The following is a 22,838-nucleotide window of genomic DNA, read 5'->3' on the forward strand; positions in this document are numbered from 1 at the left end:
GAAGGGGGAGGAATTAAAATTTTCTTTGCTCTTGTATGTTACTTTTTCCCCCATTTGCGTATTCTTATATGTATCTATCTCTGTCTCCCAACCCTCTGATGGAATTTTAAAATATCTCTCAAGTACAAACACCTCAAATAATCCATCAGATATGTGGTTTCCTCAGAAGCTTCTCTTCTGGATTCTTTCATTATTCTGCTCAAGTTTGCATTGGTTTCCTCTCTTGGCATACTACCTAGCTCTCCTCTTTATACTTCCACTTTTTGTTATTCTGGGAATCTCTTCACCAGTCTTCTGTATTACTTTTCAATTCCTGATTCTTTGTATGTGACTTGTTTTTCTCCTCCTTTGCCTTTCTCTTTGGAGGCCTGTAGGATTTTCTTTTTGTCCCTGGTGTTCTATAATTTCACAGTGATGTTGTGGTGTGGAAATCTTTCTCATTTTTTGAGCTGTGTCTTTGCTTATCTTTTTTCCATTTGGGTAACAATCTAGATGTTTTGTTGGGAGATCAAACAAATATCAGTATCTGCATGTTTTATCTCTTGGGCCAATTGGTTTTCTTAGAGAAGAACCTCATAATCTGCTCAGGGAGTTAGTTTAAGACCAGCATCATTGTGGGAGCCCAGTGGTGGAAGCAGGAATGATGTCCTCACCATTTGGTGTACAGGTTTTCACATAATGCCTCTGTTTTCAGTACCACTCTTCAGTCCCACCTTTAGCTGTTTGTAGTATCTGTCTCATTCCACATCTTCAGAGGTTGAACCTTTAGTCTTCTGCTTGTGTAGAAAAGGGTGGCTATCTTGCTGGCTGTGCAGTGGCATAGAGTATATATACTTTTTCCATGTCCTCCTGTTTTTAGGAGATAATTTCAGGATATACTTAAAATCTAAAACCTTTTCACAGTTTTAAGGGTAAAGTTTGAACTTCAAGCTAAGCCTATAAAGTTCTTTGTGATCTAGTCCTTCCTTTCTCTATTGGTTCAACTTGGTTCTTCCCCTTCTGGATGAACTAAGACCACACCACAACATACTATGTTGGCTACAGCCCGTTGAACTTGGAGGGATACAAACGCATCACATTTCACATGTGATGTACCCCTCTACCTGGAGTGCCTTCTTTTCCTTTTCTTCCACAATTTCTTATTCTTAATTGTTGTTTTCTCTCAGTAGCCCCGCTCACTTTCATCTACTGTCTGATTTAAATATCTTTTACCTGTATTCCTTTACCACCTCAAACTTATCTTTGATAGTGTTACCAGAAAGGGATATTGATCCAAACCCCAAGAGAGGATTCCTGGATTTCACGCAAGAAAGAATTCCTGGTGAGTCCACAGATTAAAGTGAAAGCAAGTTTATTAAGAATGTAAAGGAGGCCAGGTGTGGTGGCTCATGCCTGTAATCCCAGCTCTTTGGTATTCTGAGGTGGGTGGATCACCTGAGGTCAGGAGTTCAAGACCAGCCTGGCCAACATGGTGAAACTCCATTTCTACTAAAAATACAAAATTAGCTTGGTGTGGTGGCCCATGCCTGTAATCCCAGCTACTTGGCAGGCTGAAGCAGGAGAATGGCTTGAACCTGGGAGGTGGAGGTTGCAATGAGCCGAGATCATGCCACTGCACTCCTGTCTGGGCAACAAGAGCAAAACTCCGTCTCAAAAAAAAAAAAAAAAAAAAAAAAAAGGAATAGAAGAATGCCACTCTGTAGGCAGAGTAGGAGCATGGGCTGCTTGACTGAGGATACTTAACGGTTATTTCTTGATTATAGAAACTGAACAAGGGGTAGGCTATTCGTGAGTTTTTTGGGAAAGGGGTGTGAATTTCCCAGAACTGAATGTTCCTACTCTTTTTAGACTATATAGGACAACCTACAGGCATTGCCATGGCATTTGTAAACTGTCATGGTGGGAGTGTCTTTTAGCATGCTAATGCATTATAATTAGTGTGCAGTGAGCGGTGAGGACGACCAGAGTTGACTTTTGTCATTATATTGGTTTTGGTGGGTTTTGGTTGGCCTCTTTACTGCATCATGTTTTATTAGTGGGGGTTCTGTGACCTGTATGTTGTACCAACCTCCTATCTCATCTGTGACTAAGAATGCCTGACCTCCTGAGAATGCAGCCCAGCAGGAGTCAGCCTCATTTTACCCAACCCCTGTTCAAGGTGGAGTTGCTCTGGTTTGAACACCTCTGACAATAATATTTATCTATATTATACAGTAGTTTTTGATGTTATTTCTGTGCCTTTTCCAATAAGCCTTCAGATTTCTGAAGTGTACTTGACCAAGTATACTTGTTGAGTAAGTTTGAAGGTAACAAAAAGAGACAAAATTGTGTCTTAACATTTCAAATAATCTGTAAATCTGTGCCTCAAAATATATTACACTTGAAGCATCAGAGCAAGAGGATATTACAAACTGAAAACCGTCCAAACATTCCTGCTTCTCCTGTTTCCACCTTTTCTCACAGAGTGTACCTGTAGACTGTTGACAGAATACTTTGTTGCAGTCGATGAACTTGTCAATTTGAGAATGAGTATTGTGCCTTTGTGTTTCATATGTGCTTTAAAACATTTTGGAATTTTTCAGAACATGAACACATTGTGTTCTTATACTCAATAAATTTTCTAGGTCATTTAAAAATAATGTTAAATTTTAATCAATACCAGAAGTTTGGCTCCATCTGCTACAAAAGTACAAACTCACTGAACACATTTAAAAATAATAACATTTAAAGCTTCCTTGCCCTTGAGGCATTTTCTTCTGAATTGGAATCAGGCTACCTTTGACATTGGCAACTTAGTTGGATATGTATTGATCGACTTAAGAATGTTGCTTCTGTGTCTGTTATCATTATGAGAGAACATTTATTAACTGTCTGACTACATACTGCCCTGATTCTATAAACGAGAACTATGTGGATGTATTTGGTGCTTTTTAGGGACTTATTTTAAGTGTATTTATAGAGCACATCTAGCAGCGGACAGAAAATATTAAACTAGGGTATGAATGGACAGTGAAATAGTTTACATCAGCATCAGAGTATTTGGTTTTTCTAGCAAATGCAAATAAGGAACTAAAGCTAAATACAATAGACTATACTTTTAATTGAATTAATTTTCATCTAAATTTAACAGTGTCAAGTTATCATCCCAGGTGAACTTCAGAATTCAAACTAGAAAAATAGAATACATGTATTCATTATGGGATTGAATGGCATGAGCCGAACTTGGGCCTATAAAACCAGAACTTTAGAGTTTTAACCTCTCTTTAGCATAATCCGTTTATGGCCTTGGGCAGATTCTTCACAAAAACAGAAAACAGACAATCAAAATGAGAATGACAAAGGTGTGGAGAGATCTAGCTTTTAAAGCATTTGGATCTGAGAAGAGCCTCCTAAGTGGTTGTTTCTTCTAGCTCTTTAGCAATTCTGTTTTAAACCCAATTTCTCTGTCTTTTATATTCTGCCTTCTGCTATATTTATATCCATTTTCCTTACAAAGACACACCATTGTCCTTTGGAAGCAGGTTTTATAAAGTAATAGATGTATTGGCCTAGAATTTGAAAAATTATACAAAGTAAAATTCTTTTTACATACATATAAAAGATATTTCTTTGATAGGTTTATTGTTCACTAAATCGTTAACTTCACATTTTAGTATGAGACATCATTGAGGAATGGCTTATGTTCATTGACATTTGGCTCATATGAATATGAGAGATTTTAAATTTGTGTTTGTAGTTTATTTATTGGAGAATGACCTGGATTTTGCATCACTTTAGTGCAGGACTTGTTTTAGTTATTTGTGTAAAGATGTGTAATCCAAGGATCTGGCCAAGTGATTTTTAGATGGGAAGTAGAGAAGCATTTTGTTTTTTAAGACTGTTTTTTGAGGGCAGTTTTAGGGTGACAGCAAAATTGAGAGAGAGACAGAGTTTTTCCATGTGCCCCCTTGACCCCACCCTTGCATAGCCTCCCCTATTGTCAACAACCCCCACCAGAGTGGTACATTTATTACAATTGATGACCTTTCATTGACGCATCATAATGACTTACAGTTCATAGTTTATATTAAGATCATTCTTGGTGTTGTACATTCTGTGGGTTTGGACAAATGTATAATGACCATGTATCCAGCATTATAATATCATACAGAGTATTTTCACTACCCTAAAAATCTCTGTGCTCTGCCTGTTCATTCCCTGCCAACATGTGGTAACCACTGATCTTTTTTTTTTCTATCTCCACAGTTTTGCCTTTTCCAGAATGTCATATAGTTGGAATCAGTATGGAATCAGTATGTAGCCTTTTCAGATTGGCTTTCTTCACTTAGTAATATGCATTTAAGGTTTCTTCATGCTTTTCATGGCTTGACAGCTCATTTATTTTTAATGCTCAATGGTATTCTGTTATCTGGATGACCCCAGTTTACCCATTCACCTATTGAAGGATGTTTTGGTTGCTTCCAAGTTTTGGCAATTATGAATGAAGTTTCTATAAACATCCATGTGCAGGGGTTTTTGTGGACATGCATTTTCAGCTCCTTTGAGTAGACACCAAGGAATGTAATTGCTGGTTCATTTATGGTGAGAGTATGTTTAGTTTTGTAAGAAACTGCCAAACTGTCTTCCAAAGTGGATGTGTTATTTTGCATTTCCAGTAGCAATGAATGAAAGTTTCTGTTGCTTTATATCTTTGCCAGCATTTGGAGGTGTCAGTGTTCGGGATTTTGGCAATTCTAGTAGGTATGTAGTGATATCTTGTTTCAATTTGCACTTTCCTGATGACATGCAATGTTGAGTATCTTTTTATATGCTTATTTGCCATCTGTATATCTTGTTTGGTGAGGTGTCTGTTAGTCTTTGGCCCATTTTTTAATCAGGTTTTTAAAATTATTAAGAGTTCTTTGTATGTTTTGGCTAATGGTCCATTATCAGATGTATCATTTATAAATATTTTCTCTCTGGCAGTGGCTTGTTTTCTCATTCTCTTGACATTGTTTTTCATGGAGCATAAGTTTTTAATTTTAACAAAGTCTATCTTATCAATTGTTTCTTTCATACGAGTGGGTTCTGCCTTTGATATTATCTCAGAAAAGTCATCACCATATTCAGAGTTATCTAGGTTTTCTCCTGTGTTATCTTCCAGGATTTTAATAATTTTATATTTTACATTTAGGTCTATGATCCATTTTGTTAATTTTTGTTAAGGGTGTAAGGTCTGTTCTAGATTCACATTTTTGCATGTGGCTGTCTAGCACCATTTTTGAAAGGGCTCTTTGCTCCATTGTATTCCCTTTGCTCTTCTGTCAAAAGCGAGTTGAGTATATTTATGTGGGTCTCCTTCTGGGCTCTCTGTTCTGTTGCATTGATTGGTTTGTCTATTCTTTAGCCAATACCACACTGTCTTGATTACTGTGGCTTTATAGGAAGCCTTGGAGTCAGGTAGTATCAGTCCTCCAGCTTTGTTCTTCAGTATTGTGTTAGCTATTCTGGGTCTTTTGCATTTCTACATAAAGTTTAGAATCAGTTCGTTGATAACCACTAGACAATCATTTAAAATTTTTCTTTATCTTTAATGATCCTAATATTAGTCTGTCAAAGAAAAACATTGCCAATCATATTTCACTGGCCCTTGGAGGAATGAAACAATGTAGGAATGACGCTTTTGAATTTTGAGTAAATTTTATTTGTAAATCTGTTTTAGTACTATCAAAATATGCTTATTTTCTTTTTCTAATATTATTCATAATCTACTCATATCTTGGAAGATAAACTTAACTCTGGTAGCATTTGCTCTGTTTTCAGCTATTATCACAATGACAAACTATGATTTTTAAAAAACCATCATACTGGGGCAGTTCCAAGATGGCCGAATAGGAACAGCTCCAGTCTACAGCTCCCAGCATGAGCGACGCGGAAGACGAATGATTTCTGCATTTCCAACTGAGGTACTGGGTTCATCTCACTGGGGATTGTCGGACAGTGGGTGCAGGACAGTGGGTGCAGCGCACCGAGCATGAGCCGAAGCAGGGCGAGGCATCGCCTCACCTGGGAAGCGCAAGGGGTCAGGGAATTCCCTTTCATAGCCAAGGAAAGAGATGACAGATGGCACCTGGAAAATTGGGTCATTCCCACCCTAATACTGCGCTTTTCCAACGGTCTTAGCAAACGGCACACCAGAAGATTATATCCCGCGCCTGGCTTGAAGGGTCCTACGTACACGGAGCTTCGCTCATTGCTAGCACAGCAGTCTGAGATCAAACTGCAAGGCGGCAGCGAGGCTGGGGAAGGGGTGCCCGCCCTTGCTGAGGCTTGAGTAGGTAAACAAAGCAGCTGGGAAGCTCGAAATGGGTGGAGCCCAGCGCAGCTCAAGGAGGCCTGCCTGCCTCTGTAGACTCCACCTCTCGGGGCAGGGCATAGCCGAACAAAAGGCAGCAGAAACCTCTGCAGACTTAAATGTCCCTGTCTGACAGCTTTGAAGAGAGTAGTGGTTCTCCCAGCATGGACCTTGAGATCTGAGAATGGACAGACTGCCTCCTCAAGTGGGTCCCTGACCCCCGAGTAGCCTAACTGGGAGGCACCCCCCAGTAGGGGCAGACTGACACCTCACATGGCCGGGTACTCCTCTGAGACAAAACTTCCAGAAGAACAATCAGGCAGCAACATTGGCTGTTTAGCAATATTCGCTGTTCTGCAGCCTCCACTGCCGATACCCAGGCAAACAGGGTCTGGAGTGGACCTCCGGCAAACTCCAAACGGACCTGCAGCTGAGGGTCCTGACTGTTAGAATGAAAACTAACAAACAGAAAGGACGTCGACACCAAAACCCCATCTGTACATCACCATCATCACAGACCAAAGGTAGATAAAACCACAAAGATGGGGAAAAAACAGAACATAAAAAACTGAAAATTCTAAAAATCAGAGCGCCTGTCCTCCTCCAAAGGAACACAGCTCCTCACCAGCAACGGAACAAAGCTGGACAGAGAATGACTTTGACAAGTTGAGAGAAGAAGGCTTCAGACTATCAAACTACTCTGAGCTAAAAGAGGAAGTTTGAACCCATGGCGAAGACGTTAAAAACCCTGAAAAAAGATTAGACGAATGGCTAACTGGAATAACCAATGCAGAGAAGTGTTTAAAGGACCTGATGGAGCTGAAAACCATGGCACGAGAACTTCATGACGAATGCACAAGCTTCAGTAGCCGATGCGATCAACTGGAAGAAAGGGTATCAGTGATGGAAGATCAAATGAATGAAATGAAGTGAGAAGAGAAGTTTAGAGAAAAAAGAATAAAAAGAAACGAACAAAGCCTCCAAGAAATGTGGGACTATGGGAAAAGACCAAATGTACGTCTGATTGGTGTACCTGAAAGTGACGGGGAGAATGGAACCAAGTTGGAAAACACTCTGCAGAATATTATCCAGGAGAACTTCCCCAATCTAGCAAGGCAGGCCAACATTCAAATTCAGAAAATACAGAGAATGCCACAAAGATACTCCTCGAGAAGAGCAACTCCAAGACACATAATTGTCAGATTCACCAAACTTGACATGGAGGAAAAAATGTTAAGGGCAGCCAGAGAGAAAGGTCGGGTTACCCATGAAGGGAAGCCCACCAGACTAGCAGCTGATCTCTCGGCAGAAATTCTACAAGCCAGAATAGAGTGGAGGCCAATATTCAACATTCTTAAAGAAAAGAATTTTTAACCCAGAATTTCATATCCAGCCAAACTAAGCTTCATAAGTGAAGGAGAAATAAAATACTTTAAAGACAAGCAAATGCTGAGAGATTTTGTCACCACCAGGCCTGCCCTAAAAGAGCTCCTGAAGGAAGCACTAAACATGGAAAGGAACAACCAGTACCAGCCACTGCAAAAACATGCCAAATTGTGAAGACCATTGAGGCTAGGAAGAAACTGCATCAACTAACGAGCAAAATAACCAGCTAACATCATAATGACAGGATCAAATTCACACATGACAATATTAACCTTAAATGTAAATGGGCTAAATGCTCAATTAAAAGATACAGACTGGCAAATTGGATAAAGAGTCAAGACCCATCAGTGTGCTGTATTCAGGAAACCCATCTCACATGCAGAGACACACATAGGCTCAAAATAAAGGGAAGGAGGAAGATCTACCAAGCAAATGGAAAACAAAAAAAGGCAGGTGTTGCAATCCTAGTCTCTGATAAAACAGACTTTTAACCAACAAAGATCAAAAGAGACAAGGCCATTACATAATGGTAAAGGGATCAATTCAACAAGAGCTAACTATCTTAAATATATATGCACCCAATACAGGAGCACCCAGATTCATAAAGCAAGTCCTTCGAGACCTACAAAGAGACTTAGACTCCCACACAATAATAATGGGAGACTTTAACACCGCACTGTCAACATTAGACAGATCAACAAGACAGAAAGTTAACAAGGATACCCAGGAATTGAACTCAGCTCTGCACCAAGTGGACCTAATAGACATCTACAGAACTCTCCACCCCAAATCAACAGAATATACATTTTTTTCAGCACCACACCACACCTATTACAAAATTGACCACATACTTGGAAGTAAAGCTCTCCTCAGCAAATGTAAAAGAACAGAAATTATAACAAACTGTCTCTCAGACCACAGTGCAATCAAGCTAGAACTCAGGATTAAGAAACTCACTCAAAACCACTCAACTACATGGAAACTGAACAACCTGCTCCTGAATGACTACTGGGTACATAACGAAATGAAGGCAGAAATAAAGATGTTCTTTCAAACCAACGAGAACAAAGACATAACATACCAGAATCTCTGGGACACATTTAAAGCAGTGTGTAGAGGGAAATTTATAGCACTAAATGCCCACAAGAGAAAGCAGGAAAGATCTAAAATTGACACCCTAACATCACAATTAAAAGAACTAGAGAAGCAAGAGCAAACACATTCAAAAGCTAGCAGAAGGCAAGAAATAACTAAGATCAGAGCAGAGCTGAAGGAGATAGAGACACAAAAAACCCTTCAAAACATCAATGAATCCAGGAGCTGGCTTTTTGAAAAGATCAACAAAATTGATAGACAGCTAGCAAGACTAATACAGAAGAAAAGAGAGAAGAATCAAATAGACACAATAAAAAATGATAAAGGGGATATCACTACCGATCCCACAGAAATACAAACTACCATCAGAGAATACTATAAACACCTCTACTCAAATAAACTAGAAAATCTAGAAGAAATGGATAAATTCCTTGACACATACACCCTCCCAAGACTAAACCAGGAAGAAGTTGAAACTCTGAATAGACCAATAACAGGCTCTGAAATTGAGGCCATAATTAATAGCTTACCAACCAAAAAAAGTCCAGGACCAGATGGATTCACAGCCGAATTCTACCAGAGGTACAAAGATGAGCTGGTACTATTCCTTCTGAAACTATTCCAATCAATAGAAAAAGAGGGAATCCTCCCTAACTCATTTTATGAGGCCAGCGTCATCCTGATACCAAAGCCTGACAGAGACACAACAACAAAAGAGAATTTTAGACCAATAACCCTGATGAACATCGATGCAAAAATCCTCAATAAAATACTGGCAAACTGAATCCAGCAGCACATCAGAAAGCTTATCCACCATGATCAAGTGGGCTTCATCCCTGGGATGCAAGGCTGGTTCAACATATGCAAATCAATAAACATAATCCAGCATATAAACAGAACCAATGACAAAAACCACATGATTACCTCAATAGATGCAGAAAAGGCCTTTGACAAAATTCAACAACCCTTCATGCTAAAAACTCTCAATAAATTAGGTATTGATGGGATGTATCTCAAAATAATAAGAGCTGTCTATGACAAACCCACAGCCAATATCATACTGAATGGGCAAAACCTGGAAGCATTCCCTTTGAAAACTGGCACAAGACAGGGATACCCTCTCTCACCACTCCTATTGAACGTATTGTTGAATAGTTCTGGCCAAGGCAATCAGGCAGGAGAAGGCAATAAAGGGTATTCAATTAGGAAAAGAGGAAGTCAAATTGTCCCTGTTTGCAGATGACATGATTATATATCTAGAAAACCCCATTGTCTCAGCCCAAAATCTCCTTAAACTGATAAGCAACTTCAGCAAAGTCTCAGGATACAAAATCAATGTGCAAAAATCACAAGCATTCTTATACACCAATAACAGACGGAGAGCCAAATCATGAGTGAACTCCCATTCACAATTGCTTCAAAGAGATTAAAATACCTAGGAATCCAACTTACAAGGGACGTGAAGGACCTCTTCAAGGAGAACTACAAACCACTGCTCAATGAAATAAAAGAGGATACAAACAAATGGAAGAACATTCCATGCTCATGGGTAGGAAGAATCAATATTGTGAAAATGGCCATACTGCCCAAGGTAATTTATAGATTCAATGCCATCCTCATCAAGCTACCAATGACTTTCTTCACAGAATTGGAAAAAACTACTTTAAAGTTCATATGGAACCAAAAAAGAGCCCACATTGCCAAGTCAATCCTAAGCCAAAAGAACAAAGCTGGAGGCATCACACTACCTGACTTCAAACTATACTACAAGGCTACAATAACCAAAACAGCATGGTACTGGTACCAAAACAGAGATATAGACCAATGGAACAGAACAGAGCCCTCAGAAATAACGCCGCATATCTACAACTATCTGATCTTTGACAAACCTGAGAAAAACAAGCAACGGGGAAAGGATTCCCTATTTAATAAATGGTGCTGGGAAAACTGGCTAGCCATATGTAGAAAGCTGAAACTGGATCCCTTCCTTACACCTTATAAAAAAATTAAATTTGGATTGAAGACTTAAATGTTAGACCTAAAACTGTAAAAGCCCTAGAAGAAAACCTAGGCAATACCATTCAGGACATAGACATAGGACTTCATGTCTAAAACACCAAAAGCAATGGCAACAAAAGCCAGAATTGACAAATGGTATCTAATTAAACTAAAGAGCTTCTGCACAGCAAAAGAAACTACCATCAGAGTGAACAGCCAACCTACAGAATGGGAGAAAATTTCTGCAATCTACTTATCTGACAAAGGGCTAATATCCAGAATCTACAATGAACTCCAACAAATTTACAAGAAAAATGTAACCCCATCAACAAGTGGGTGAAGGATATGAACAGACACTTTTCAAAAGAAGACATTTATGCAGCCAACAGACACATGAAAAAATGCTCATCATCACTGGCCATCAGAGAAATGCAAATCAAAACCACAGTGAGATACCATCTCACACCAGTTACAATGGCGATCATTAAAAAGTCAGGAAACAACAGGTGCTGGAAAGGATATGGAGAAATAGGAAGACTTGTACACTGTTGGTGGGACTATAAACTGGTTCAACCATTGTGGAAGTCAGTGTGGCGATTCCTCAGGGATCTAGAACTAGAAATACCATTTGATCCAGCCATTCCATTACCGGGTATATACCCAAAGGATTATAACACATGCTGCTATAAAGACACATGCACACGTATGTTTATTGCAGCACTACTCACAATAGCAAAGACTTAGAACCAACCCAAATGTCCAACAACAATAGACTGGATTAAGAAAATGTGGCACATATACACCATGGAGTACTATGCAGCCATATAAAAGGATGAGTTCATGTCCTTTGTAGGGACATGGATGAAGCTGGAAACCATCATTCTCAGCAAACTATTGCAACGACAAAAACCAAACACTACATGTTCTCATTCATAGGTCGAATTGAACAATGAGAACACATGGACACAGGAAGGGGAACATCACACACCGGGGCCTGTTGTGGGGTGGGGGGAGGGGGGAGGTATAGCATTAGGAGATATACCTAATGTTAAATGACGAGTTAATGGATGCAGCACCCCAACATGGCACATGTATACATATGTAACAAACCTGCACGTTGTGCACATGTACCCTAAAACTTTAAGTATAATAATTTAAAAAAACCCATCATATTTACCCAAAGTACTAAATATTTATAGGTATGAATTGAATTCAGATGGGATATATACACACACAATACAGTATTGTATTGTAGAAATATTGATATTTACATTCAACAGGTTATGTTTGTATTAATCAGGTTTAAATGTAGGGTAAGATAAATGTCCTTTATTACAACAATTTTTATGGTACATTAATGTTTAATAATGCCCTATCTTTAAATTAGTTTATAACTAATTCTCTGTGGAAGCATTGTAGAATCTAAAAATCTGAATTAAGATCAGAATTAACACAAAAAAATTGCATCTGTTGCCATTTTATGTTTTTGAAATGGAGTCTCGCTCTGTCACCCAGGGTGGAGTGCAGTGGTGTGATCTCACCTCAGTGCAACCTCTGCCTCCCAAGTTTAAGTGATTCTTGTGCCTCAGCCTCCCAAGTAACTGGGGTTACAGGCATGTGCCACCTCACCCAGCTGATTTTTGTATTTTTATAGAAAGAGGGTTTCACCATGTTGGTCAGGCTGGTCTCGAACTCCTGGCCTCAGCAATCTGCCCGCCTCAGTCTCCCAAAGTGCTGGGATTGCAGATGTGAGTCACTGTGCCCAGCCTTCTGTTGCCATTTTAAAACTAAGAGTTAAAAGATGCTTTTGTATAATTTTCTAGAAAATATCTTTTATACTTATTTTCTTCTAACTACATTTAAAATACATTTTAAAAAGCAGAAAGCAAAAATGAAGTCTAAGCAAATTTCCCGTGAATACATTTCTTTTACAATAAATGTATGCCAGTTATTCAGTGTTAGAATTGAATATAGTTAGATTCTTGAGATTCTGTTTTTAAAAGACACCACAGTATTTTGTTTTTATATGAAGTATTATGGTAAATGTGATCATTACCTTAAATATATGGCATCAGGTTTTTAAAGTGGTATTTTGTGGATTTTGTTAAATCTGTCTCAAAGTCTATTTTCTCATGTTATGTTTGAAGTATGGGTATGATAGTACCCAGAAAAACAGGCCTTTCAAAACAAAATACTCTACTTTTATGACTCCATAAAAAATACAATCTTTATTATTATCCATAGACTGAATAAAACATCTTACATTTTATGTTTCATTTTATTCACCATAATGCCTATTTTCAATAAAATTACAGGTGATTTTAAATATGACTAGACTTTTTTTTTTAATAGAAAGATCACATAATGGCTTAAGTATATTCCATTAGGAGTAGTATTTCTCTTGTCTTTTTGTTCAGCCATTGGAGTCCCCTGTGACCTTGGGTACTTTTTCCATAGGCGAACTGATGCTTCATGACGTTCTGTGTTTTCTGGTAGCTTGCCTGTTGCCTGCCTCTGGGTTCGTCATCCCCCTTATGCTGACTTAGGCAATATTTCTTCAGTCTCTTATCTTGGGGCTTTGATGCATATGTTCTGAAGGTGGCCACAGTGACTTTGGGTAGCAGCAGATGGTAAACCTTCAGGCTGCCACCAGCTAAACTGGTGTTAAGTTGGAAAGTTAACGTTTGATGAAGAATCAGTAGTGCATATGAAAGAACTTTCACTGCTGAAATATCTTTTAATTAAAAATTAGCATACTAAAACCTTTGTGAATGTCTGGGCATTTAAAGAAATCTACAATTAGTTGTGTTCTTATAGAAGTATTTATTTACCAGTTTAGTCTTATGTTACTTGCTCTTCCTAACCTGGTTCTTTTTCCTCTGTTTCTACCCCAGTTTGTTGGTAGTTAAGATAAATCAGATAACTACATAAATTGAAATATAGGTTGTTTTTAGGAATCTTGGGTGTTTGCATAAACAAAGTATATTTTGAATTATGGCATTTTGGATTTTAATAACTAAGAAGAGATGTGGATTTTAAGTACAATCTTCATATAATTCTGGTAGATTTGGTCTGTTTTCTTCTACCTTTGAAGGTATTTCTGGATCAAATAGGAGCCTGAAGAACTCAACCTGCCTCAAAGAGATATTTCCTTTTGTTCTAAATTAGTTGGTGATTCTTGACTCTGCCGTTCTTAACTTTGTTAACTTTGCAGAAATTGATGCAGCGACTTCTGATGAGCTAAAGCTGTAGGCACAACATATTTTGCTTTTGGAGTTACTGAGCAGTGGGTACAGGGAACATTGCTAACCTTTTTGGATTATTTGTTCACTTCATGATAATCTGCTATGTGGGAAGTTCTAGCACAAATGAAACATTGGTAAGGCTCCAAAGGATTTTCTTTGTTACCCATAAATCTTGGGTACCTTATATACTTTTCTCAATTGAAAATGTATCCTTGAGAGTAATAGCTGAAAATATCTTGTAGACTAGAGTTATAAGTATCCCTGTCAAATTTTACTCTTTATGCTTGAATTTTCATCAGTGGAAAACTTATGAAACCAAGGACAGATTGGTTTCATGGCATAACATGAGAGAAGCATCTCTGCATGGTCTGTTCATGCTAATGCTCTTGATGGTGCAGCTTCTGATGGACTGAAGCTGTAGGTGCAACATCTTTTGCTTTTGGAGTTGCTGGGCAATGGTACAGGGAACATTGCTGGCCTTCTGATGCCAAAGAAAGAGAAGTTAGACCCCAGTTGGGAGAATTGTTGATATTAAAGCCCACCGAGTACTATTCCTTGTTTTCTAGTAGTTGAATTTTTATAAAGATGCCTCATGAGAATAAGGTGTGGAATTAAGAGTAGAAACACATTTTGGATGTTTTAAGAATACAAAATGAGATTTATTTTAGCAGAAAATATGAATAACATTTGATAATTATGCATGGTGTTAGGGGAGGAAAGCAAAGTTTTAATGCTCTAGGTTTGTTGTTCAAATCCATTTCTATAGAAGGATAACATTACCAGCTCTTGTAAATTTGCCCATCTGGTTAAAAATTCAGATCTAATACTAGTCAAGTATGGATTACCTTTGAAAGAGAGTGTAGCAAGTACAATCATGTTCACATGAAAGTATGTTGGGAAAAACTTATTTGCAAAATCGGTCTAGTACTATTTTCTCTAGTTTCTTTATTGTGTTGATCTCATTCTTTCTGTTGTCATTATTTATATGTGAATTACGGGGAGCATGACTTACACAGTTGATATCTCATCCAGATTATAAGCAGCAAACACAAATCCGGTTATATGTGACACCATTAAGGGATGCTCTGTGTTTGTCCTGTAGTCTTTTTGTTTCTTTTCTTTTTTTCAATAGTTTTTGGGGTACTGGTGGTTTTGGTTACACAGATAAGTTCTTTAGTGGTGATTTCTGAGATTTAAGTGCATCCATTACTCGAGCAATGTACACTGTACCCAATACGTAGTATTTTATCCTTCACCCACCTCACAACCTTCCCTCCTGAGTCCCTGAAGTCCATTATATCACTCTTACGCCTTTGCATCCTCATAGCTTAGCTCCCACTTACGAGAACACATGATATTTGGTTTTCCATTCCTGAGTTACTTCACTTAGAGTAATGGCCTCCACCTTCATCCAAGTTGCTGCAAAAGACATTATTTCATTTCTTTTTATGGCTGAGTAGTATTCTATGGAGTATATATACACCACATTTTCTTTATCCACTCATTGGTCGCTGGGCACTTAGGTTGGTTCGGTATCATTGCAGTTGCTAATCGTGCTGCTATAAACATGTATATGCATGTGTCTTTTTCATATAATGACTTCTTTTTCTTTGGGTAGCTACCCAGTAGTGGGATTGTTGGATAGAATGGTAGTTCTACTTTTAGTTCTTTAAGGAATCTCCATATTGTTTTCCATAGTGGTTGTACTAATTTTCTATAGACTTAAGCATTATTTTAACTTGTATTAATTGTTCTGGAGTCCCATGAAGTAACTGGCACTAAAGTAGAGACAGACAGTCCCTGAAATTACCCAAGTAATCTTTCTTTTAAAAGGAATTGGAGCTGAAGTTATTTTCAGGGACTTCCAGACTTCCAGTGTCAACATTTAAATTAAATATCTAAAAAGATTCATGAATGGGGAGACACTGAATCCCCACTGAAGGGAACTCTCCACACTTCTTCACCACAGTCGTAGTGCCTTCATAGTAGCATATCTCTTTTCTCTTCTCCATATTATTTTTCTTTATTTGCTTAAAAATAATCATCATTTGATACTTTTGGTGTACCCCTTCTCCCTCTTTTCTTTGCAAAGATGGTTGCCTACTTAAATATTAGTCCTTTCTTAATTCTAGTTAACAAATAGACTCAAACCTGTAATCAGTTGGAGCTTTTCCTACTACTATTATGACAGAAAAGTGGGAAAAGTGAAACTTGTGGAATTGAAGAACAGATGAGGCTAATCCTTAAGGAATAAGTTGCCTGCTTTTTCTTTTTTTTCCCCCAGTTAGGAGCAGTTATTTCATGTATTAGTATGGGCAAAGATGAAGTAATTTCTTCTGTTAGACCATATGCTAATATAGGGCTGATAAGTAAGTGTGAAAAATGAAAGGGAGAAATACATTAATTGTATTCTTTCAATAAGGTATGCTATCCAAGGTAATTATTTCATGACAGTTTTAGTTATAGTACTTGTTTTATCATGAAATAAAAGATTGTTTTAGGAGCCTTTTATTGGAAAGACAATTGTATCAAGCTAGTACAAATTAGATTTTTGTCTTTATAAAGGTGAGCAAACCCATGAGCAGTTTTTAAATTGATGTGTTTTAGTCTACACATGAACAAATTCTGTTTGAGGGTTAAAGAAGCTATTATTTTGTCCTTTATGCTGACAGTTTCATTACAGATTGGCCTACTGTTGGCATTAAAAAAATGTTTGGCTCCTTATGATCTTTGTGCATGCAACTATAATATTAATGCAGCACCATAGCACTGTTCATTAAGAAATGACTTTAAATGAGGTTGAAGCGTGTAAATTTGGAAAGATACAGATGTTAAATGCAGTCGTTTCTCTTTGTGTACAGCTGTATGGCTAATAATTTCCAAGCAGCTAAAGCTCTTGTTAGCAGGAGTGCTGGTGTGTTAAGAATGGCTCTATAAATAACTTTAAGAACTGAAGTTGAAGGTGCTTCTTTTAAAGACTATTGTTAACTAAACATTATTGCCAAACAGATGGAAAGCATTCACCAGCCTGATGTTTTTGGGTCTAATTATATTATCACCAGCCCTGTACGGCTCAGTTGAAGAGGTATATCCAGAGGCCAATTTATAATCATTTAGCCAACACCTGTTTGGGAGAAATTGACAGTCAAAGGGCACATTTTTAAAAAATCACATATGTTCTTGTGTTTATTGCCTCAATGTGAACGTTGTCTAGTTGCACACAAACTTTGTAGGAGAAGAAAGTAAATATAAACAAAGCAGCATTTCCCAGCCATGTTTATCCATCTTAATTTGCTTTTTTTTTTGGAGATGGAGTCTCACTCTTGCTCAGGCTGGAGTGTGGAGTGGCGCGATCTCAATTCACTGCAACCTCCGCCTCCTGATTCAAGTGATTCTCATGCCTCACCCTCCCGAGTAGCTGGGATTATAGGTGTCCACCACCATGCCCGGCTAATTTTTGTATTTTTAGTAGAGACGAGGTTTCACCACGTTGGCCAGGCTGGTCTTAAACTCCTGACCTCAGGTGATCCACCCACCTTGGTCTCCCAAAATGCTGGGATTACAGGTGTGAGCCACTGCGCCCAGCCGGTTTGGCCTTTTTATCTGATCTGCTTCATGCTTCATGACTAAGTGAGATCAGTAAGGAGGTATCACTCCTGATTTGTGCAGGTATATTTTGTTGAGTCAATTAAGGGGCTTTTAATAGGGAGAAGTTCTTTCCTTTGGTTATACAGCTTCCATGCCTTTTACCTAGTGAGATGTGTTCTACTTTATATAGATATGTCTTGTTCAAATAGAATTGGCTTTCTGGTAAGTGACTTAAAAGTCACACCTCATGTAAGCTGGGTGTGGTGGCTCATGCCTGTAATCCCAGCACTTTGGGATGCCGAGGCGGGCGGATCACGAGGTCGGGAGATTGAGACTATCCTGGCTAACACGGTGAAACCCTGTCTCTACTAAAAATACAAAAAATTAGCTGGGTGTGGTGGCGGGCGCCTGTAGTCCCAGCTACTCCGGAGGCTGAGGCAGGAGAATGGCGTGAACCCGGGAGGCAGAGCTTGAAGTGAGCGGAGATCGCACCACTGCACTCCAGCCTGGGCAACAAAGCAAGACTCTGTCTCAAAAAAAAAAAAAAAGTCACACCTCATGTAAAAACAAATGAGACTTAAGGAACACTAAATGTCTTCACAGATTCAACAGATGTTCAACAGATATTTATTGAGCTCTCCTTTGCAGAAGGAAGGCCATGGTGCCTCCTTTTACATTCTTGATATGTTGATTTAACTCTTAAAGTTCACAAATGTGTTTTCATGTTTTGGAGGCTCAAGATTTGTGTTCATTGTAACTCAAAGGGCAGCTATGGAGAGAATAAGTCTATCCTATCTGAAAAATAATAAAAGTCAAACCCTTTGTTTCAACTGATGATACCACTATTTCATTTTAGTGTTTTTCCTTCTTCTGACAGACTTTACTATTGAAAGGCTTATATATGTCACCTCTATTTTCTTATCACTCATTATGAACTCTGTGCAATCTGCTTTTATCCTCAGTTCATTGTACAGTGAACTGTACAATGCTGTATTGAAAGTTACACATGACTTCCTAACTGCCCTAACCAGTGATGGTTTCTCAGTCCTTATTCTTCATGGCTTCTCTCTGTTGTTTAGCATAGATTACACTCATCTTAAGCATTCTCTTTCTCTGTCACCTGAACCACTATGTTTTCTCTTTGTACTTTTCTCATTACACTTTTGGTTATTGTCTTATTTACTCACAATATTTCAACTATGTATATTTTCAAAATTCAGAAATAAATAGTATCGCTTAGCAATTAAAGAGGAAGAAACCTGGAGCCAGACTACCCTCTACCACTTATTATCTTTGTGAGTATGGACAAAGTCCTGAGGTTAAAGAAGTTCCAGTGTTTCAGAGTGCACTCCAGAGAGTACAATCAGTTTTATGCTTATTTCCTTATCTGTAAACTTGATTAATAAAAGATACCTACCTCTTTGGATTGTTGAGAGAATTACATGATTTAATTCCTTAAAGCCCAGCACAGTGCCTGATATAAAGGAAGTGTCCCAGTGGGATTCATTCTTGTGTCTTTAGTTTTTATCTTTATGGAGAATGCTCAAATATAAATCATTAGTACCGACTTATTTTCTAAGCTCTATTCCCATGTCGTCATCTACCTTACAAACTTTTAGAGTTGAATTCACTAACCGTATGTTTATTAAACATTTACTGTGTGAGAACAGTGTGTTATGTGATAGAATAATTTTTATGCTGTTGGTTTTCTGTTGCTGACATAACAAATTACCACAAAGTTGGCAGCCTATAACAACTAAATTATTAAAGTTCTATAGGTCAGAAGTCTGACACAGTTACTGGGTTGAAATCAAGATGGTGGCAAGACTATATTCCTTACTGGAAGCTCAGGAGAGGAATCTGCTTCCAAGCTCATTCAGGTTGTTGGCTGAATTCTGTTCTTTTCATAGAGTTGTAGGACTGAACTCTGTTTCTTTGCTGGCTGTCAGCCAAGGACTGCGCTATACTCCTAGAAGTTGCCTAGGTTCCTTCTTAGGCTTGCTATGAGATCCTAGAAGCCTCTCTCCAGTTCTTGCATGTGGGCCTTTGCCACCTGAGAGCCAGCAGCCATGCATCCCTTTCATGCTTTGAATATGATTTCCCTTTCAGCCTTATCATTTCTGTGCTTTGCCTTTCTTTTCATAGACGATAGTTCTCTGTTTTTGAAATGGATTCATGTGATATTTTGGAACCCACCCAGATAATCCAGTGTAATCTCTCTGTTTTAAGGTCTGTACCTTAATTACATCTGAAAAGGCTTTTTTGCCAGTAACATAACACGTTCACAAATGTTGGGGATTCTTGGGGTATGAACATCTTTGGGGCCCATTATCCTGCCTTTACAGCATGCCCATAAAGAGCTCGAAGTCTCACTGGGAGACAGACCCCCAAATCGAAGGGTTAGAGATTCTATAATAGATGTTGGTGCTGTGTAAAACAGCAGAAGAAAGGAAGAAAGTAGTCAGTGTTACTGAGAGCTAGAGTGACATTTGTGCTGCATATGGAAAGATGCATACTTGTTTGATAAGTGCCTGGGGGAATATTTCAGGGAAAAACAAGCAATAATAGTGATAGCAGTAATAGCAACTAGCTGTACTTTTATAAGATTATCTTACTGAAATCCTCACAAGTGTTAGATACTGTTACCGACTATTATAGCTTCTACATAATAAGAATGCCTTATGTCCATAAGAAGACATGTCTGTAGTGTCTTCTAATGTAGAATAGGAATGGTAAAATTATTTCACTGAGCCAGACCTGGTGACTTATCCCTGTAATCTCAGCACTTTGAGAGGCCAAGGCAGGAGGATTGCTTGAGCGATCGCAGGAGTTCAAGATCAGCCTAGGCAATATGGTGAGACCCCTGTCTTACAAAAAAAAAAAAAATTATCCAGGCATGGTGGCACATGCCTGTAGTACCAGCTACTTGGGAGGCTGAAGTGGGAGGATCGTTTGAACCTGGAAGGTTGAGGCTGCAGTGAGCTAAAAATCACACCAGAGCACTCTAGCTTGGGTAGCAGAGTGAGACCCAGTCTCAATAAAAATAAGATAAAACAAAATAAAATAAAATAAATCATTGGCTTTTTGGGAGGATTAATATTGATTACACCTGGGTAAAGTATAGCACATAGTAAATGCTTAAAACATGGCAGATTAGAGAATACAGGGTGGATAAGAGAAGTGCTTAGGAGGTAGAATTGATTTGATTGATTTAGAATTGATTCTAAATACTTGGTATTCAGAAGGTGCTCAGTGTATAATTGTTGAATCCTGGATCAGTCACTTGTTCTGAAGGTGGGAGACAGGAGACAGTTCAGAGTAACTTAGACCACGTTTAGTTTCAGAGCATGCATGGAAGATGGTCTTAGTACTATAGGAGGAGCAGCAGGCTGTTTGTTTGTTTGGTGAAGGCAGGGCCTTGGGAAGAGGATATGAGGTACCTGTGAGAATATTGTATTGAAATTAATGGAAATTTAAATAGTGTAGGTCAAACAGAAGACAAAGATGAAGTTGTCACTATTTTTTCAACTTTAATATCTAAAATGGAATTTTCCATCTTCTCGAACTGGTTTCCCATCTCAACTTCCTTGTTTCTTCTCACCTTTTAAAAATTCTTCTATTTTTTTCAAGCTTAACATCTTTTTTTTTCATCCTTAAATTCTGTCTTTCCTTACCCAGTGGTGGGCTGGTAAATGTTTGACAGCCAGCTCTCTGGTAGGGGGAAGAAGGCTCATTTGCAGTGTTTGCTGATTTCTGTAGTACAAATCCTCCTCCCATGGCCAATTTCAGTCTGTGGCTGCTTTTGTTCTATAATGACAAAGTTGAAAAGCTGTAACAGAGACTGCATAGGCCTGCGGAGCCTAAAATATTTACAGTCTGGCCCTTTAAAGAAAAAGTTTGCCAATCTTTGCTACAGTAGTTTTTCCAAAATAATAAAGCTTTAATAGGGTAGGATAATTTCATACTTCTGTTAATTTATTTTATCCATCAAGATGAGGGGTGGGAATGAGTAGTTTAGGGGGGCAATGTGTGAGAGGTTATGAAGGGTCTTGAGGTCATTTTATGGGCTTAAGCTTTTTCTCTCAGTGAGATAAGAAGAGTGCCATGTTCTAACTTATGTTTTAAAAAGAAAACCCTGGCCGCTGTTTTGAGGATAGACAACAGGGCAGCAAAGATGGAAGCAGGGAGATCAGTTGGAACACTGTAGTTACAAGTTAGGTAAGAGTTGATCTTTGCTTGAATCAGAGTAATAACTGTGGAAGTGGTAAGGTGAGTTCAGATTCTGGATACATTTTGAAGACAGAGCTGACAGGATTTGCCGGTGGTGGAAAGGGGTGTTAAGGTGAATCCAGGGTGAAGAGATACCAAAAGGATGCCTTAGGCTAGAGCCTGAGTTATTGAGATCACATTATAGCAAGTTGCTACATAGGAGATTTTAGGAAGAAAATTGAGACTTGAACAATTTTTTTTGAACCACTTCCTGTTGATCATATATGTTCCAAGAGGAAAAACTCTGTTTAAAATAGTATTTCCTTTACTTCTAAGAAATACATTTTAAAATACTTTAGGAAACAGTAATGTTTCTAAAATACGGCATTTTTAGAAAAGGAAACCATAATAAAACCTATTTTGGATAAGATTATTTTGATCCTATAATTTGCTGACTTAAAAAAATTTATTCAGAAATGAACAATTTTGGGGAGGGGATTAAATTTCAGCCCTGCCCTACTCTTAAAGTTTAGTTTAAAGCTAAGAGTTAATGTTTCATTGTATTGTTAATAAATTATTACTCGTGTCTTTTATGTAGGTTTTACTTGTAATGGACACAAGGACAGAACAGACTTTCATTTTAAAAGTAAGTAAAATTTGTAGCCAGGCGCGGTGCCTATAATTCCAGCACTTTGGGAGACTGAGATAGGCAGGTCACCTAAGGTCAGGAGTTCGAGACTATCCTGGCCAACATGGTGAAACCCCGTTTCTACTAAAAATACAAAAATTAGCCGGGTATAATGGTGGGCTTCTATAATCCCAGCTACCCGGGAGACTTAGGCAGGAGAATCGCTTGAACCCAGGAGGCAGAGATTGCAGTGAACCAAGATTGCACCATTGCACTCCAGCCTGGGCAACAAGAGTGAGACCCTGTCTCAAAAAAAAAAAAAAAAAAAAAGAGTAAGTAAAATTTATATGTTTAA

General features: G+C 38.3%; 1 protein-coding gene across 46 annotated transcripts in view, besides 1 other annotated feature; it reads left to right on the forward strand.

Annotated features, from left to right (window-relative positions):
• Positions 1 to 22,838, forward strand: part of RPS6KC1 (ribosomal protein S6 kinase C1) — an 811,495-nt gene that overhangs the window by 156,803 nt on the left and 631,854 nt on the right. For 34 of the 46 annotated variants that reach the window (XR_007058661.1, XR_007058662.1, NR_146210.2 and 31 more), the window contains one exon: positions 22,454 to 22,501. The exons of the other annotated variants lie outside the window; for them this stretch is intronic. Coding sequence is in view for 29 of the 34 variants with exons in the window: in XM_047417936.1 (XP_047273892.1) it covers positions 22,454 to 22,501 (48 nt within the window). In the remaining 5 variants the exon portion in view is untranslated. The remainder of the gene's footprint in view (positions 1 to 22,453; positions 22,502 to 22,838) is intronic. 46 annotated transcript variants of the gene reach the window in all.
• Positions 12,509 to 12,699: a silencer, noted in NCBI's record as "fragment chr1:213393895-213394085 (GRCh37/hg19 assembly coordinates)". NCBI's record gives its function as "represses an EF-1alpha promoter that drives an FKBP-Casp9 reporter gene in an ReSE screen in K562 erythroleukemia cells {active_cell/tissue: K562}" and the evidence as "EXISTENCE:reporter gene assay evidence [ECO:0000049][PMID:32094911]".

The sequence above is a fragment of the Homo sapiens genome, chromosome 1 (assembly GCF_000001405.40).
Source record: "Homo sapiens chromosome 1, GRCh38.p14 Primary Assembly".
Lineage (NCBI taxonomy): Eukaryota > Metazoa > Chordata > Mammalia > Primates > Hominidae > Homo > Homo sapiens.